This window comes from Homo sapiens, chromosome 20 (genome assembly GCF_000001405.40).
Source record: "Homo sapiens chromosome 20, GRCh38.p14 Primary Assembly".
In the NCBI taxonomy this organism is placed as follows: Eukaryota; Metazoa; Chordata; class Mammalia; order Primates; family Hominidae; genus Homo; species Homo sapiens.
In genome coordinates, this window is record NC_000020.11 from 9122404 (window position 1) to 9142547 (window position 20144).

Sequence of the window (20144 nt, forward strand, 5' to 3'; positions counted from 1 at the left end):
GGTTTTTAATGGTTGCATACCTTTAAAACAGGAAGAATTATAAGTTATCCCAGGAATCTTCTGTTACTGGATACTTAGGTGTTTTGTTTCATTGCTTTAAAATCATTTCTACTCCTCTTCACAATGTGGATACTTGGGAATTGTCACATCATAGTCAATTTCACAAGACAATATAGATTAACTAGCCATGCACTCTTAATGTACATATGCAGTATTTCAGACATTAGAAGTAGGGAGATCAGTTTTGCTTGATGCAGGCAGTTAAAAATCACGCGCATGTAAAGAAAGGACCAATTTTACTTGCCTCAGTGTTGGCCCAAGTTTGGAGACTAAAGCATTTACAGACCATTAGCTCTATACTTCACTCTTGAGACCACTTGTTGTAATGAGCTGTCAATTATTGTGCATCTAAGTGTAGTTAAAGGGACCATTGGGCTTGCAGTTTAAAAGCCAACATTTATAAATGTGTAGGAATTGAATTATAAATGCAGTGGTTCAGTAAGGATGTACTGCATCATGGACCTGTCTGGATACAGTATCTGTTCTCTGAAAGATTTTAGTGTTCATTAAAAACATAAGAAACAGTAAAAATGTACTCTTGAGCATATAGCTATACAATTTTTATGTTTTTACAATATAGTTTGGGAAAAATATTTTTTTAAATCAAGAGATTTTAAAAAGTAAAAAACATTTCTTTACTAAGGTATTTATTAAATATGCAATGAATTAATTTCAGCTGACATGTTGGAGTGAGGAGAAGGATGGAAATTGGAGATTTCCATTTGATTCAGTGAAGCTACAGTCTATTAAAAAAAGTATATTCTTCACTACCTGTTTATCATTAGTTTTTGAATAGTATTTGCCTTTGAAAATCTGTGTACTTTGAAAATATTTTACTGCAGCTTGTAAATATGGCCTGAGTAACATTTCACATTTTTTCATGGTTAAAGATGCCTTTTGCTTTGAATGTGCCAATTCTAAATATCACTCTTTTAAGAAACTCCTGGAAATCTCCTCTTTTTTTTTTTTTATATATATTTCAGCTATTTAATTTTATCATGTTCTTAAAGTCAATATTTTGTATGTGAAGAGTGCCCCTTAAAGTTTATTTCTTCTTTTTATTTTTTAACATGAAGTAATACCTGCTTGCTGGGATAAACAATATAGATGAGTAAAAAATATTTTGTTCAATTCCACCTTCTCTCTTCATTTTCTCATCTTCCCTAGAGGCAATTACCATGAACAATTTGGTGATTATTTCTTCAGATCTTTCACCCAAACTTTTACAAAGATAACATAGGTAGATAAGTAGGTAGATAGGTAGTTGTTGATCACAGATGTAAAATAGGTTTTCTTATATAAATGACTTCATTTCTTTCAAATGGTATACAAAACCTGTATAACACAGTTATTTACAGATCTATGTTGTATGTAGCTGTCACAAGCAGGAGTTGGCAGACTTTTTCTGTAAAAGGCCAGAAAGTATTTTGGGCTTTGTGGAGTATACCGTTTGTTGTGATTATTCAGTGTTGTAGCACAAAAGCAGCCACAGGCAATACCTAAGTGAGTGGGTGTGTGGGACTGGGTTCCAACACATCTGTATTTATGTATGCTGAATTTTGAATTTCATATAATTATGATGGGAGTTGAAATATTATTCTTCTTTTAATTTTTTTCAGCTATTTAAATATGTAAAAACCAATCTTAGCTCTTGGGCTTTTGCAAAAGCAGGTGACTGGCCTGATGTGGCCCATAGGCTATAGTTTGCCAACCTCTGGTCTAGAATATTAAAATAAAAATCATTTACAAAATTAAATCTCAACCGGGTGAGACAGCTCACACCTGTAATCCCAGAACTTCGGGAGACTGAAGTGGGAGGATTGCTTGAGCCCAGGAGTTCAAGACCAGCCTGGGCAAAAATAAAATAAAAAAATAAAAATTACCCAGGTGTGGTAGCACATGCCTGTAGTCCCAGCTAATTGGGAGGCTGAGATGGGATGGGAGGATCCCTTGAGCCTGGGAGTTCAGAGCTGCAGTGAGGTATGATGGTGCCAGTACGTTCCAGCCTGCGTGACAGAATAGGACCTGTCTCTAAAAAAGTAAAATCTTATATTTTGTAAGAGGTAAATATCACAGTGAGATTGGTGAATAAAGGCAAATAAAGAAAATACCTCTTTTATAGAATAGTGATTTAACACTTTACAGACTGTGAATGAGAGACTGTATTTAAGAAACAAGCAACAAGCAATGATAAGAGAAAAAAGGCAGAGAATTAGCTGATGTGAGGTTTCAAGTACTGGAGAGTCCAAGGGGGTCTTAGTGTTGTGACCAATTCACAAACTCCCTTGGCCATTCCCCAGGGAGAAATATTCCTGATCCCTTTTAACATTATGCTTTTATTTGCATGTATCATCTTTTTATATGAACTTTGTTTTGCAGTGTTAGTTGATAAGTCTCATCTTTGTAATTGACAATTGTTTTTATCTCCTGTATTGTATTTTAAAAAGTTTATTATGAAGTGTTTATATTACTTATAAGGAAATAAAATAGTTACATTGAAGATTGCCCAGGAAATACATTTCATTTTAAACCTTTTCAAATAGATGCATTGTAATGTTAAGCCTGGCCCCATTAATTTATTTCAAGGGATGTTCTCTGAATGCCTGAAATACGCTTGACTCCATCAATTCACCAGGCGTGTCTCTTGATGGCAATTCTGCTTTCAGACCAATGAGAACACCGTGATCCAGTTTAGCTGCCTTCTGAAGCAATTGCTAGTTTTAATATAATAAAAATAAAACAATAGGATGTGTATTGTTCTACCTGTGAAACTGTCATTTTTCCACTAAAATTACAAAATGCAACATACAATTCATAAAACTAAAAACTTATTTTTAATGAAATAAGAAGCAGTTTATTAAGGTATATTATACTCTCTGATTTTATGCTTGGTATGGAACTTAATGAATGTGTGTGGTAAGAAGTAAAAATGGATTAGTTGTGTGTTTTTTTTCAAACCACTTGTTCCACATTTTTAAATTTCATTTTCTTCACCTAAAGTAGAGAATAAAATAGTGTGTTATTTTTCCAATGTATAACTTGGCAATTTAGATATAACTCGTAATGAGGGATATTCCTACTAGACAATCAAATATAAGAATCTCTTTATATATGTATATGAATGCACACATGCATATATGAATAAGGGCTTATATCTTTTATTCTTCTTAGAGGTTCATGGCATAAAATTTAGAAACTAGAGACCAACATAAGGAGAAAATAAAAGGATGTGTATTTTTACCACCCAGCCATAGCCCTATTGATATTTGTGGGACTACCTTCCAGTGTCTCGTGTCTGTCTCTATATGCGTATACACATATAATTATAGTTCAGTCCTTTATTTCTCAGTTTATATTTGTTGCTTGTCTACTATGTGCCAGGCACAATGTGAGGCAATAGGGACATGACAGTGACCAGAACCATCCCCTCTTTCCCTGAAGTTTACTTTGTTGGGGGAGACAGGCATTAACCTAAGGTCACTATGTGTCTAGTAGTAATGAGCACTGTGAAGAAGATTAAGACCAGAAAAGGGGACAAATTTGTGTGTGTGTGTATGCATGTATGTGTGTGTGTGTAAAAGTAAAGACAGTAATGGGATTGTACTATCCATACTTTTTATAACTTGCATTTTTAAATAAAAACAATATTAATATTTTTATTTCACTAAATATACTTCTAAGCAAGTGTTATTTTGAATGCTATACTCTACTTTTCTATAAACGAATTAAGTTTATTTAACAAGTTGTCTAATATTGTAAACATTGTTTACTTTTAAAAATTGCTATTTTAAGTATTGCTGTAAGGAATGTCATTCACTGAAGACACGTGTTTTTACACATCCCTAGAATAAATTCCTAGTAGCAGAAGTACTGGGTCAAAGAATGATCATGTGAAGGCTCTTGATGTGTGTTTGATATGTTTTAAAATGTTATATGGCTCCTTCATGACTCAATTTGTTTTCCTTCCCCTAGTCCCCTTCACTCTTCCTTCCATATTTTAAGTTTTAAATCTAAGCAAAAGTAGATCGTATACTTCATATTTAAAGAACTCTTTAACATGTTACCATGATAACATATTACTTTGGTAGTGAATTTTGTGTTTTGTTTCTGAAGTCAGATTCTTATTGTGAGTGAGAGGGCTAATGCACTTATAATATAATTGCATCATTGCACAAGCTAACAAAGTCCTATTGTTGCTTACAAAGTTGGTATGGAATGAAGGAAAAAATACATTAAGCACAACAAACCAGCAGCAGCCTTGGAAATGCAAGAGATTCAGAGCAAGTTTTAACATGTCATTTCATTTGCTTTTTTTTTTTTTTTTTTTGAGGTCTGAAAAAAGTCTAAGAATACTGAACTGCATCACAAAGGAAGCATTCAGTCTTGAGAGAAAACCATTTTAGCTTGCCTTATGATAGATTTTTCTATTCCAGCAAAATAAAATAAAATGCCCTACTTTGCTGTCACTTTCCACTGGTTTTCTTTCAGTTGACATTACCTGTAATACTAACAGTCATAAGTCACATACTTACATAGCATATCCTCTGTGCCAGATACTGTATTTCCTCATTTTAAAGCTAGATGGGAATTACTTTCCACAAAAGAGAGTGGACGTTTTACCACCAAGGCACTAGAGGTTTAGTAGCTCTAACCCTTTTCAGAAATCATAGACAGAAGTAGAAGGGCGGTGTTAAAGCAATGCTCATTGAACTCTAAGGTGTGCACAAATCACCCGAGTATCTTGTTAAAATGCAGCTTCCCAGGCAGCAGGTCCGGGAGCCTGAGACTCTGCATTTCTAACAAACTCCTAGGGAAAGCCATTTCTCTTGGTTCAAGGAACACGCCTCACATAGGAGGCATGAGGTACTTCATACTGCTCATCCTGAAAGCCACCTCTGTGATAAAATAATAGATGATTAAAAATTTCTTATTTTTATTTTTATGTATCTTCCAAGTTTTCATCAGTGATCATATATTAGTCTTATAATGAGAAAAAAAGTGAATAAATTGATTTTTTAAGTAGAGTAGTCCCTTTCCCCAGATTTCTATGGATGGTTTTCCTTGGGCCTCTCTTTGAAGATCTTTGAGGTAGGTCTTTGAGTGGGTTGTTAGACACTTCAGGTGCCCTGCCCATACTACTCAACATTTAACTTTTAAAAAAAACGGTGGTAAAATTATCTATCTATCTATCTATCTATCTATCTATCTATCTATCTATCTATCCATCCATCCATCTATCTAAACGGAGTCTTGCTCTGTCACCCAGGCTGGAGTGCAGTAGCACAATCTTGGCTCACTGCAACTGCCATCTCCCAGGTTCAAGTGATTCTCCTGCCTCTGCCTCCTGAGTAGCTGGGATTACAGGTGCCTGCCACCACACCCGGCTACTTTTTGTATTTTTTTAGTAGAGACGGGGTTTTATCATGTTGGCCAGACTCGTCTTGAACTCCTGACCTCAAGTGATCTGCCCGCCTCGGCCTCCCAAAGTGCTGGGATTACAGACGTGAGACACCACGCCCGGCCCATATTTTTGATATGATATAGTTTGGATGTTTGTCCCCTCCAAATCTCATGTTGAAATGTAATCCCCATTGTTGGAGGTGGGGCCTGGTGGGAGATGTTTGGATCATGGGCACGGATCCCTCATGAATGGCTTAGCGCTATCCTCTTGGATGAGGGGTTCTTTCTCTAGTAGTTTACATGAGATCCGGTTGTTTAAAAGAGTGTGGTATGTCCCCTCTTCTCTCTCTCTCAGTCCCACTCTTTCCATGTGACACCACCTGCTCCCTCTTGATTGTAAACTTCCCGAGGCCCTTACCAGAAGCTTATGCTGGAGCCATGCTTGTACAACCTGCAGAACTATGAGCCAATTAAACCTTTCTTTATAAATTACCCAACTTCAGGCATTTCTTTGTAGAGATACCAAAATGGACTAACACACCATCTTAACCATTTTTTTAAATTAGTTTTTGAAATAGAATCTCACTCTGTCACCCAGGCTGGAGTGCAGTGGCGCAGTCTTGGCTCACTGCATCCTCTGCCTCCCAAGTTGCTGGAATTACAGGAGTGTACCTCCATGCCCAGCTAATTTTTGTATTTTTAGTAGAAACGGGGTTTCGCCTTATTGACCAGGCTGGTCTCCAACTCTTGACCTCAAGTGATCCACCCACTGCCTTGGCCTCCTAAAGTGCTGGGATTACAGGCATGAGCCACCGCACCCAGCCAGTCTTAACCATTTTTTAAGTGAACAGTTAAGTGACATTAAGTACATTCACAGAATTGCACAACCATCATTACTATTCATCTCCAGAACTTTTTCATTTGCAAAACTGAAACTCTATATCCATTGAACAGAAACCTCCATTCCTCCCTCCCCCAGCTCCTGGCAACCACCATTCTATTTTCTGTCTCTGCAAAATTGACTACTCTAGGTTCCCCATATAAGTGGAGTCATATAGTATTTATCCTGTTGTGTCTGGCTTATTTCACTTAGAATGATGTGCTCAAGGTTCATCCATATGGTAGTATGTGTCAGAATTTCCTTGTGTTTTAAGGCTGAATACTGTTCCATTATATGTGTATACCACATTTTGTTGATCCCTCATCCATCAATGGACACTTGGGTTGCTTCCACCTTTTGGCTATTGTGAATAATGCTGGTATGAACATGGATGTGCAAATCTCTCTTCACATCCCTGCTTTGGTACTTAGCATTTTTATGCCCAATTTCCAACTGCCTGCATCTGTGTCTTCTTACCTGAGGGTGTCTTCTGACCACCTGCCGTACTCACATATGGGCCGAAAAGTCAGTCCCCCTCCCACCAATTAGGATAGAAATTGGTGTATAACTATACCAGGTCCCTTGCTTCTGGGGTGGAATAACTGGAGAAGTGTATTCTTCACATTTCCCCGAGTTCCCCAGTGGGATCAGACCGCAGTTACCCTTGGTGGTAATCTGCTTGATATCACATTCTATACTGGCTTCCTTCCCTGGTTCACTTTTCCTCAGTCACCTTGTGTTTCCTGGAATATTTCCTCCCAAATAAACTTCTTGTTCTCAAATACTGACTTAAGGTATGCCTAAAGGAGAACACATCTAAGGGAGTTAAAAAGGTGCACTGTGAATATCTATTTACACCCAGGGATACTCTCTTTTTGGAGAGCAACAGTGAGATTTCAATATGTGTGGTGGATTCTTAGTTGGGGGTACATCTGCCTTCCCACCCCATTCAAGTGATGTTCCGAATAAAATTAAATCTGTTCATATGAGCATTTAAACCTTGTTGTAACATTTTATACACATGTTTTCAAAACTCTATTTTTGCTTCGTTTCTAACTCAACAACTTATTCTCCCAATTTAATTACCATACATGGAGCTGGATCCCGAAGAAAGAAGAAAAACAGCTCTACAAACAAATAGGTCTTTTGTTGGATAGGATAGTTGTTTTCTATATATAGATTCTTGTTTCTTCCTTTTGCTACCATGTTTAGCCTCTGGGGCTTCTCTTGGTTGTATCTAGTTTGTTGTTCTTGGCTCATTTTGGCATTCTCTGTGTATTGTATTTTTAATATTAAATTATGTATTTAGCAGCAAGCTTAGAAACAGATGAAGTTTCTTGTACTAGAGCTGCTACTCAAGATGAAAATGCAATGCAGCCGACAATGTAAGTCAGAGCTGTGCTTCAGTGTCTTTGGGGGTGTCTGGCTTCTAGGGAGGTGTGAAGTTCCATTGATCTTTGGGAGCTGTTAATGTAGGAGATTAGTTTAAGTATTTACACACCAACCTTATTTAAGGCAGCTACTGCAGAAACTCAGTAAACCATTTCAAAGGGAAAATGTGTGCCTTTCTAAAAACTGCAGCCAGCTTCCACACTCCCCACACCAAAAATAAATCTTTTAATTGTGTATGATGCAGTAGATGCATGCATACTTCAAAAGTCTGCCTAGATCTTCCTCTTCTGAATTTAAAAGATAAATTACTCTAATTGCTGTGTCGTCTAGCTGGTTTATAGTAAATGAATAACTTTCAACGTAGAAAGCAGTTACAGCTACAGAAAATAGACAGTAATGTCACTGCAAGTGTTTCCTCTTTAAAGTCATTGAAAGAGTATCATAGCAGATGTTTTCTGTTTTGGACTGTTTTCCCATGAAACCCATGGATGACGTTTGCACATGATAATTTATCTCCTTAAGTTAGGAACAAACTTATCTGATTTCATATACTGGAGGTTGGAAATCCTTTTTGTTAACTTAGCACAGTGGTAACTGGAAAAAATAAGCTTTTTAAAAAGTAGGATGAATTGAAGTTGTGATCAGATAAGCAAGAAGTAATATGAAGCCCAAGCAAAGCAAACTTAGTCATTGTTTCTCTGTGCCAACACAGACCATCATATTCATTATGTCCATCAAAATAGGGGAGGTCTAATTTAGACAGATAAAATGAAGTCCATTCTTCTTTGTGAAAGGAATCGGAGAGTTTCCTGGGAAAACAGCTCAGCCTCTCTAAGCCTCTTGCATGTCCATGGGCCTCATGGCCAGCATGTAACAGCATCATGTGAAGTTACATTGCATGCTTAGGGGTGGTACTAATAGCATAACTTGACTCTTTTTTTTTAATTCAAGGAGCAATAACTGACTTTCTACTCTGGGCCAGATCTGCTCTGTTCTGAAGATACCTGAGAATGATCAGTTCTTTCTGTTTAGCTAGTAATCTTTCGGTACATCTATTGCCCCATCAATTGATTTATCAACCAATTGACTAACTGATCGATCAATCTCTCTTCCCTCTTTCTCTCCCTTTTTCCTTCCTTCCCTCCTTCTTTCCTTCCTTCCTTGCTTCCTTCCTTCTTTTCCTCCCTCCTTCTGAAACAAAATATTAAGCTAAAGCTAGAGTCAGGCAGCTTCCTGAAAGTTGAGCTCTGAATCTTACCTTGGGTCCTCAGTAATAAGATATTATTGGATCTCTGTGACTGGTAATAACTTTACTTGTTGAAGGAATGAGATTGGCTCCTTTGAGTGCAGTTGGTGGTTAAGGGCATAGCCTCTGTATCAGAGTGCTTCTGTTTGGCCCAGGAAGGGACTAACGTGTATGGTGGTTGCAGTTTTAATTTGATATAGATTGATTCATATATGTAGTCACTGATTTTTAATAAATCTGTTGGTTCGTAGTTCAAAAAGTCTGGGCAAAAGAATCTGGTTTACAAGGAAATCCTGTTCCAACCATGGTAGACTGTTACATTTGGTGACCCTGCTGAACTCTGCCTCCTATCACTCATGCCCTTGTCTATTATATTCCTCATTGACTCTAGACTTGGCCATATAACTTCCTTTGGTTGATGGGACATTAGTAAAAATGATACAAGCAGAGGCTTGATAATCATTTGGGCTTGTTTTCTTGGAATGCTGCTTCTTGGAAGCCAACCTTGATGCTACATAAATGTTTGGACTAGACTATTAAGTGATTGGCCACATCGATAGAGACCCTGAATGATGAGAGGCCGTCTCGCATGTTCCAGCCCCAGTCAAACTCCCAACTGACTGCAGTCTATTGAGTGACCTCAGCTACACCATTTACAACAGAAGAACTGCCCAGCTGAGCACAGCCAACTTAATGAATTGTGAGGAATAATTTATTGTTGTTTTAAATTACTAAGTTTTACAGTAGTTAGTTACAAAGCAATAGATAACTAAAACCATGTCCTACTTTACATGGTCTGTGCAAAAGGACAAAGGGGACCTTGTGTATGTTGTGGCTCATAGAAGACTGCATTTCATAATGCTATAGTGCCATTAAGAGCATAGTCAGCAAGGGCATAATGTTTGTGTGTGTGTGTGTGTGTGTGTGGTTGTTAAATTGTGAGATCACTGCTTCTACCTTTGCAACTGAATGTCATGCAGTATTTTTATTTCCACATAGTTATACTTAAGGAAGCTACCTTTAAGAGTAATAGCTCTTTTATTCATTCAGGTTGTGAAAGACACTGAGAATTATGAAGAAAAGAGCAGTGACTCCAAGTCCTACAACCTAGAGTCCAACTTTAGGAAGTTTTCATATTGTAAAGATGGTTAACATAATGAAAAACTATACTTGATTCTTATTCATAAGCCTGGTGAATAAATTAGTAAATTAGATCCAGTTGAGAGTGCTGACACTCTTGATATCCTTATAAAAGTGCTTGTAAGCATGGACACAGATATGTGGATTCTTCTATTGGATTTATCGTTTGCGATGCCCACCACTGCATTTCATTCTCTACATTGCAATCAGATTGCTTTTTCTAAACGGCAAATTTCTGACTTATTTCTGCCTATACAATAGCTCCTCACTGCCTCTAGGGCAATGGTTCTCAACTAAGGGCAGTTTTGCTTCTAGGGGCATCTGACATTGGAGACATTATTGACTATACTTGGGCACTACTGTACTATATTGTAGTGACTAAAATAGAGATGCTACTATTTTCTAGTGAGTAGAAGCCAGGGATGCTGCTAACCATCCCACAATGCCCAGGACCACCCCCCGACAACAAGGAATTAACCAGCCCAAAATGTCAGTAGTGCCTCTGTTGAGAAACACTGCTGTAGGGTAAGGCCCTAACTCCTAGCTGATGCTTCCCTTTCTAATTTCATACCTCTGACCTTTGGCTCATACTTGTCATGTATGCTTCTTATGCAGCAGCAAACTACTTCCTATTTTGATATCTTCTTACCTTTAGGTCTTTGCTTATGTTGTTCTCATAGTCTGTGGGTTTTATCATTGTGCTTTGTGCATACTTCTGTTTTTCTGATCACACTGAGTTGCAATTACTTTTTTTTGTTGTTGTTGAGATGGTCTCTCGCTCTGTCACCCAGGCTGGAGTATAGTGGCATGATCTTGGCTCACTGCAGCCCCCGCCTCCTGGATTCAAGCAATTCTTTTGCCTCAGCCTCCCGAGTAGTTGGGACTACAGGTGCACACCACCATGCCCAACAAATTTTTGCATTTTTACTAGAGTGGGGTTTCACCTTGTTGGCCAGGTTGGTCTTGAACTGCTGACCTCTGGTGATCCATCTACCTTGGCCTCCCAAAGTGCTGGGATTACAGGTGTGAGCCACCACACCCAGTCTGCAATTACTTTTTAAAATCTGTTGTCCCTACAAGCTTGTGAGTTCAGGGTGAGCTAGCACCAGGCTACATGGCTAGGAAGTATTTGATGGAAAGAATGAATGTTTGCGTGAGACCACTACCGGAAAAGGGGCTGAAGCTGCATAAGTGGATAGCTGACCCACCCTCAGCGAGCTTTCCTCACATTGGGTGAATCATTCCCATGGAGGCACTGTGGACAGCAGCTCTCCCTGTGCACATGATTTTAATGCCACTTCACAGTGGTTCTTCCTCTGTCTTTTTGTGTTTTAAACCTTTAGGAGACATCAGTGTCAACTCCAGGTGGGCTTCACAATACTCCAGGTAGCTTTGAGAGACAACGTAAGACATGCAAAGAGTGTGAAGACAAAGCTTTGTGCCTCAAATGTCCTACTGTAAAGACCAGGGCAGGGGAGAATTTTTGAGAAATGAAGGACTGGTTCAAGGCACTGTCTTTTGCCCCAAGGCGGCATTAACATTAATTTAGCATAATATAGACCAGTTATTCTCAATCTTGCCTGCACATCAGTATCATCTGGGTTCCTCAAAAAATACCATTGTTGGTGTCCAGCCCCAAGAGCTATTGGTATAATTGGTCTTCCTGAGTTTCAGAATTTTTAAGTTTCCCACATGTTTCTGTTATGCATCCAACTTTGAGGACAACTGATATAGAAAGTAGATTATAGATCTTCAAGTTAACATTTCCACAGTAATTTACTATTTTCCTTCTTGGTAATGTACTGTTACTTAATAATTTTATAATTTTTAGCATAAGTAATAAATTAGTACTTCTAACTTCATTCAAATTTATAATTGCATTAATTTAATTAATATGTAACTTTTTGGTAAATGACATTGTATAACCCCATTTTTTTTAATATCCTTCTCCCTCTTGGCCCTGAAACTCAGAAGAAATATCATCAAGAAGCAGCTGACCCGTCTTCATGTTGGTGGAAGTTGGAAGGAAGCCATTTTTTAGATAGTGTGCCCAGAAAGACACAAAATTAGAACTTTCCTTTTGGTTCCTGTTCTGCCTCCCGTTTCCAATACCCACAGTTCTGTTTGCCTAAGAGAAAAAGTAGGAGCATCCCCCATGATCCCAGAAAGTCCTTCTCAGAGGCTAATTGTTACTTTTTATGTTTTTTATTTGATAACCAATGTTATACTTGTTATGAATGTGCTAGTTAGGAAGAAAAGTGAAAGAGCTGTCTAATTTATTCTACTCATCTTCCCTATTTGGTGGTTGGAATGAATTTTGGCATTATTTTAAATAGGAAAGCTAGAAATCGTAGTTTTATTCATTCCATGACACTGTATGTCAAGCACCAATTTTTTTTAAAGTTTATGAAAATTTGGGATCCAATGACTTTTGCCATTGAGTAGGTAAGCACTGCTGTAGAATGGCTCCTTTTGGCAGAAGATAATAGCTTTCAAGGCAAGAATTATAATCATTTAAGCTGTAGAATTTTAGATTACTATATTGTTTCATTTCAAGAGGGAATGTTAGGGTAGAAAGAAATGGTCAAAATGATATAGATAGTGCAACCCTCCCAACTTCTGCACAATGTGTGTGTATATATATTTATATACACACAAGGTTTTTATTTGTCAAGTATACCTCACTAGAGCCAAATATACAATTTAACTTTAACGATTATATAATTTTTATTTGTCAAGTATACCTTATTAACACTGAAAAAACAAACTAACCCCCAAACAAAGGCAAAAGAAACCAGAACAATTTGTACACCAAAAACAACTAAGGCTCAGAGTAATTATTGAATTCATCGGTTGATCATTTTTTATGGAATATCCTGGGTCTGCCTCTCTTGGAAGTGCTGTGTTGGGTGTGAGGAATGAGGTGGTGAAATGATTTGCCCATGGAGACATATGAAGTTACAGCAGAGCCAGAACTACAAAGCACGACTTTGTTTCTTGAGGGTATTAATTTATAAGAAATTTCCAGGCTTGATTTTTCTAATTTCCCCACCTTGATTTTTTATAGGTATATCCTATAATGGGTTAAGAGGGTTTCCAATAGATGTTTATGCAAGGTTTGTGAGTTTTAAAATGATTGGTTATATTTATGCTGTCAAACCTAGAAAATTTGATTAAAATAATATCTAATAGCCATTTGGTTAATAAGTTAAATCTTTACTTTCTAAAATTTCTTTTTTCTATTGTATAGAAAAGCACATTTTGCTTTTCCTGAATTACCTATGTCTAAGAAAATCCTCTGAAGAATGGAGTTGTGCGTAAGTCCTAGTACTGGGACACATAATTCATGTCCCTTTTACTGCTGTAAATTTTTAGCAAGCTTTTAGGTTGGACAAGAAACTTAGAGCTCCCCTTATCTAAGTTCATTTGACAGATGAGAAAATTGAGGCCTGGGGAGGTTGAATTATTTGATGAAGTTTACAGAGCTAGTCTGAAGCCAAGCTGGGGACTAGAAGTCAAAACTTTTTGACCCCAAGGTCGGTACATTTTTACTTTAGTGCAGAGTAAAAACTGTAGGCAGCATTTCTTATACACATAAATGCACACACACACACACCCCACACACAATATCCTCACACTCTAAAGTGAGTCTATTTTCAGAAGTGTGGGTTGTTAGTTATGCATTGTCTTAGGTTGGCTTCTCCCAAAGCTGGTTTGAGTCAAGGATTGGAGTGCAAGTAGCTCACTTGGGAGGTGGTCCTGGGAAGCACCCGTAGGGGAGTGGAGGAAGTGAGATAAGGAAGGAAAGTCAGCCAGTACAGTGTGTGCCGATAAGCAGATTCCACTGTGGGCAACTGAGGCTCCTCTGTGCTGGGGCCCTTTTGGAGACTGGGTAGAATATGCTTCCGAGTTGTCCCACAGGAAAGGCAGGCAAGGAGCTGGGCTATTTATTTACCAGCTCCTAGGTCACTGCTTGGGGGCTTTTCCTGGAAGCCTTACTCCTTGCACTTGTAGCTGAAAAGTCTACAAAAGAGGGTTTCAGTTCCTAGAGGAAGGCTTTTTAAGTGTGGTTGATAACTGAATCAGTGGGAATGTGGAGGGATTGGCAGATCACTGGCAACTTCTGTGTGCACTCAGAAAGAATTGCAAATGGGTGTAAGTGCATATTCTACACACAGTCGATTCCAATATGACAAACACCTTGTCTTTGCTCTTTCCTCTTTCCATCATATACTTACTGCTTTCATATGGGAAGGATAGAGCTGAGAAATAAATATTGAAACTGATACCATCAGTGTTGGATATTCTGTTTGCCCCTTGAGAGTCACTCTTCACTTTCTCCAGCCTACTCTCCTGAGGCTGGGCATTAATTGCAACATTGGTGAGCTTCCTTGCCCTCTGGCTTTAGAATGGGTTCAGGCAGTGGGAGCTTCTAGAGGAGACTGGAGGGAGGAGAACTGTGAGGTCAGTTGCTTAAGAGACTCCCGGGTCTCTTCTTGCCAACATGCTGTTGGTTGACTCTGTCCCCCTCCTAGAAGCCACAGTCGACCAGGAAGATCTCTTCTGTCGTTCTAATACTATTCTTGGTTTCTGTAGCTCTGTCCTCTTACTCCTTCAGGCCTAGGACACGTCATATTCCCTGCATGGTTTCCCTAATCCCTGCCCACACCTGGTAAATAACCTCTTATTAAACTCCCTTGTTGCCCCGTTTGAGTGTTCCATCTGTTTCCTGCTGGGACCCTGACCGAGGTAACATCTTTGAGGCATTTACTCTCTAGACAGAATCAGATGAAATGAAACAGCTAGAGATGTTATGAAGGTATAAGATAATGAGGCATAAATCGTACTCAAGCCCTAAGGATACTCAGCATGTAGGATCCATTAACAAAGAAGGGTTACTTACTAAAGAAGATGTTTTTTGGAGGGGTGCCTTAGGTTGTAATTGGTAATCTGTTTTTCTCCTGCTCTGTGGGAAGCTCTGTTTAGGTAGTGAATTGAAAATTGGATTCTGCCTTATTACCATGTATGCAGTTAATTATAATGTATTTAACTCTATAAAATGGAAAATTTGTAATTCAAAGAAATAGAAGGGTGAAATGGATCTATCCATCTGGAAATTTCAGAGATTTCTCTCATGTGTGCTAATTTTAGATAAGTAAGTATTTTCCCCTTAATTCCTTATGTTTCTCATCCCTTTAATGGGTTATAATTTATTTTTCTCAAGTTTTTTTTTTTTTTTTTAAGTTGGTGTGAAAGGCATTTCAAGCTGCTTAGAATAAGGGGCTAGCAACAGAAAACACCCATTCTGTATGTATTTACAGAGGGCCTCTTGTGATTCAGGCACTTTGCTTAAGTACCATTAACTCAATAATGAATGATATTTGATCATTGCTTTCAAGGAAATCACAATGTAGTTTGGAAAATAGAAGCCCAAACAAATACTTGTGACAAATATTTTTAAGTGTTATAAGTATGTAGAGAATTTTACGTGCATATAAATGAGGATTTATAAGTAAGTCTGTCAAGAAAAGGCAGAGAGGTTAGTGAATGACAGAAATGTTTCATAGAGCAAGTGACATTGAGTTGGGTCTTGAAGGATGATAATGAACGTATCAGGAAGATAAGAGGAGGAATGGCATGAAGGAAGGTGTGCATTTCCTGGTGGCTTGAAGATTCAGTGAGAAATATGATTTGGGAGAAATGTTGGTGGCCTTTGGAGAAATGCCTGGACTTCGGCCATAGGATAGAATGGTAATCTGATTCTTAATATGCATCATCACTTAAAATAATATAGACTAAAAATATTAGTTAAAATATACTCTAAAAATATTAGGGGAGTGTAAACAAAACAAAAATAATATCTTTGGGGATCTTTAGACATTTAGTGGGAAATATATTGCTAGATATCATATAGCACATGTTTTAAATACTGAAAAATGTATGATTTTAATTCAGGAGCATCTCAAAACAGGGAGAAGACCCACTGGTATCTTCTGTCACTACACAGCTTTGCTCAGATTTGTGTGCACTTATACTAAATTTGCCATTACACAATTACCTTCTATCACCATAGAATTACCTAAAATATGAAAATATGATGGGTTGCTTGGAAATATGGTGGATTGCCTTTTCTATTTCTAATGATTATATTAGCATCCATACTTCACAATCACCTGTTTAGCAGAACATATCTGGATACACCAACCATAAGAGATATTTGTGCCTTATTCCTTCTAATTATTCTAGTCCCTAAAGCTTAAGGGGTCAGCAGTCTTGATGTTATAAGGTGGGCTAATTGATGAAGACTGTCTTATCATTACAACAGTTATAGATGCAATGAATTTTTGAGTGCTGCTTACTAAGTAGGAAACTGATAAACAAGAATTCCACTCCAGAGGCATGAGCAAAATGGTAACTATAGTACATGGGTATTATAGTCAAAGCCTTTGTAAATGGAAACCCCTTAAAATGGTCATGTTAAAGGTCATTATATTGTCTAGAAACTTGAGGTCTCATGAAGTACAGGGAGAGGAACAAAGTCCAGTCAGGTATCATGGAACTATTAATAGAATGCCAACGTCCAGAATTAAGCTTATACTCCCTGTCATGCAGAGAATGTCTTCTTGTCTATCTGTTTTATTCTTTCCTTATCTTGTTTGCTAACCATGTTCTATCTATATTCTGTTTTAGTTATCTCTTGCTTTTTAACAAACCACTCCAAAACTTACTGGCTTAAAACAACCACCACCATTTAGTGCCTTTCATGAGTCTGGGTGGTAACTGGGCTCAGCTGGGCAGTTCTTCTGTTTCATGTGGTGTTGGCTGGGGCTCAAATTCTCTGGGGGTTCATATGAGCTGGAATGCTCAAGAGGACTCACTCACATGGTTAGTAGTTGATGTGTTTATTGGATGGGAGTTCAGCTAGGATGCCAGCTGGAACATCTCAGTTCTGTTCCATGTAGTTTCTTTCCATGTGGCTTGGGCTTCTCACAGTGAGGGAGCTGGCTTCCAAGAGGGAGCTTATAGATGTGCAAAAGTGGAAGTTGCCAGTTCCCTTAAGTCAAGGGCTCAGAAGTCCTGGGTGACCACTCCCAGTGCATTCTGTCAAAGCAGTCACAGGGCCAGCTTCCAGGAGAGAGGAAATAGACTTGACTTCCCAGCAGGAGGAGTGACAAACCATTTAAAACCACATTTTTTTTTTGCAGAAGGCCCAACATGTTCCACGTGTCACCAGCCACCACTATTCACGGAAACTTTCATAAGTGTTCGTCATGAATTGCCTATAGCCTCTGTGTCTCTTAGTTCAAATGCTCCCAAGGGACATTCATATTGGTTGCTGACCATCCAGTCACCTGTGGTTGACAGGGCCAAGTCTTGTGCTATTAAAGATTTTCTTTGAAGGGGCTGAGGTGGGATTAGTGCTCTGAAGATTATTTGAGAGAATGCTCTGTGCCTGGCCGTTCCTCTGAGGCTTGAGATAACTTTTCTTTCCATGGTCCAGAGAGCTCTGCCTGACACTTGCCTTCTAACTTTTTCTGGAGTAATTCTCTCCCTCATTTTTCAGCTTTGCTTTTTTGTTTTAAGTTTGTCTAATATGCGTCTTTCCTTTCTGCTCTGTGTCCCTGAGACAAGAAGGCTGTCTCCTCTCTCCCGGTCCCTATCTGTCAGCTAACTTCTAACCTGCTCTTCAGATCTCAGCTCAAATATCACTTCCTGAGGGGAGCATGGAACACCCTGGATTAAGCCACATCCCCTGTCCGTCTCCTTTTCCCTCATCTTGCTATCACACTTTGTAACCTTATACCAGTGTGGCTACTTGATTATGATCTGCCTCCCACTGAAGGCTCTAGAAGGCAGAGGAATGTGTCTGTCTTCCTCAGGGCTGCAGTGGCCATGCATTGCTCCTGTTAGGTACTGATAAGTGCTTGCTATTTGCATGATTTAAAAATTGGAAGTTGAGATGGTTTGGTCATTTGTCCCTTCCAAATCTCAAGTTGAAATATGATCCCGAATGTTGGAGGGGGGGCCTGGTGGGAGGTATTTGGGTCATGGGAGCAGATCGCTCATGACTGTCTCGGTGCCCTCCCCGTAGTAATGAGTGAGTTCTTGTTCTATTAATTCACGTGAGAGCTGGTGGTTTAAAAGAGCCTGGCATCTCTCTTGCTCCCTCTCTTCCCATGTGATATGCCTGCTCCCCCTTCGCCTTCCACCATGAGTAAAAGCTTCCTGAGACCTCACCAGAAGCTGGTGCCATGTTTATACAGCCTGCGGAACCGTGAACTAAGTAAACCATCTTTCTTTATAAATTACTCTGTCTCAGGTTTTCCTTTATAGCAATGCAAAATGGACTAACACAGAGGTAGTTGCCCTGAAGAAGAAAGGACCAAGGGGAGAGAATATTTATCTTGATGAAAGAAGTTAAGACTAGCCTCGTTTCAGGGAATATAAGGACATAGTTTATTGGGGACTGCCGCTCATCCCCATTGGTGATACCATGTGAATCAGTGAAGTCCTATTGTTAAGGGTAGAGGCTGCATGTTAGTTTGAAATGTAGCAAGAGTTCCTGCCCAGAGATGGTCCATAAGTGCCTGATTAAAAGCCAACTTTTTCTTTTCTTTATGCTTCTACCACCATGGGGCCCTAAATCTGTACTCAGAGATCTCAGTGATGGCTGAACTTTGTGACCATTGGGCCAGAACTACTCATTCCATTCCTATTTGTTCTCCCATGAAGCCAGTATCTTGTTTGGCTGCAAGCCAAAAAGATTGGTTAGATTACAGCTTGGGATATGACGGATGCACCTCTGAGCATAATCTCCATGAGATAACCCTAACCAAAACTTTTTGTCCAGTTCTTCTGTGGCATGCTATTTATCTAAAAAGAAAGTTAGTAAGTTAGTAAAAGAATCAAAATGCCAGATGGGAAACATAAAGATGGAGAAGGAAATAACTGAGATTTTGTTTTATTTAAAGATTCTACACTCTTTGCATGCTAGGATTTTTCAATCCCCACTTTTAGATTGAGATAAAGATGGGGGCAATCTTGTTTAAGTTCACTTAATTTCCCTGAAATAATTTAATGCTGTAAATATGTACTGAACACTCCATATGTATCTCCGTGGAGGGTGTAAAGACACATACAAGTTGGTATATAATCTTGAAATTTATACCTACCCAGGAATTATGGCATGCGTATATGACATGAGGTCCCAGTGCAACAATCAGATAAGAAGGGAATAATAGGAATTAAATGGGGGATGGAGTAGTCAGGAGTGTTTTTATAGAAAGGCTAGACATTGAGCTGAATCTCCATGGATGAGTAGATTTAGGAAAAGTTGCCTAGAAAGTAGAGGGAGAGGGCATTCTAGGCTGTGAAAGCCCCATGTCTGAAAGTTAAAGTGTGAGAAGGAGCAGGAATGCCCTTTCACACACCAAAGGCAGTGAAGGTATACAGGGTAGGGGTGGGAGGTTAGGGAGTGGAGGGCTATGGCAAGCCACTGAGTGAGATCCTTGGAGGCCAGGTGCAGAGGTGGAATGCTTGCAAGCAGAGGAAGTCATATCATAAAACCTGTGATTTGGAACATTATTTCCTTTGCAGTTGGTGAGGTAGTTTTGATGAGGAAGAGGCTGGAGCCAGAGACACCTCCTGGGAGATGTTGTGGTCAGCACCACAAGGGTGGTGATAGAAATTAAGAGAGAGGGAAGTGCACAAAATGGGTTCAGAGGAAGAATGGGTGGATTTTCATGTCTGGATTCATAGTGAGGAATACAAAGAAGGAAGAAATAAAGGGATCTTGAATCTGGGAAAATTATTTCCATGATCACCAGTACAAAGATTGGAAATGGATGGTCACGCCAAGGTTGTGTGGACCAGAGGAATGGAATAGCTTATAAGCAATGTTAAATAACTGTGGGTTGGTTGAAAGATAAAGGCTGGAGGTGCAAATGAGTGCATCATTAGATGCTGTTGGATTAAATAAATCCAATGAACACAAACTTGGGAGTTTTACTAGGCATTTTAAGCAGG

At 38.8% G+C, this 20144-nt stretch overlaps 1 protein-coding gene across 10 annotated transcripts in view, besides 1 other annotated feature; it reads left to right on the forward strand.

Annotated features, from left to right (window-relative positions):
• Window positions 1-20144, forward strand: part of PLCB4 (phospholipase C beta 4) — a 412131-nt gene that overhangs the window by 53726 nt on the left and 338261 nt on the right. The gene's annotated exons all lie outside the window — the stretch shown is intronic.
• Window positions 13759-14053: an enhancer, noted in NCBI's record as "tiled region #7247; K562 Activating DNase unmatched - State 5:Enh". NCBI's record gives its function as "activates a minimal TATA promoter and a strong SV40 promoter by Sharpr-MPRA in K562 cells {active_cell/tissue: K562}" and the evidence as "EXISTENCE:reporter gene assay evidence [ECO:0000049][PMID:27701403]".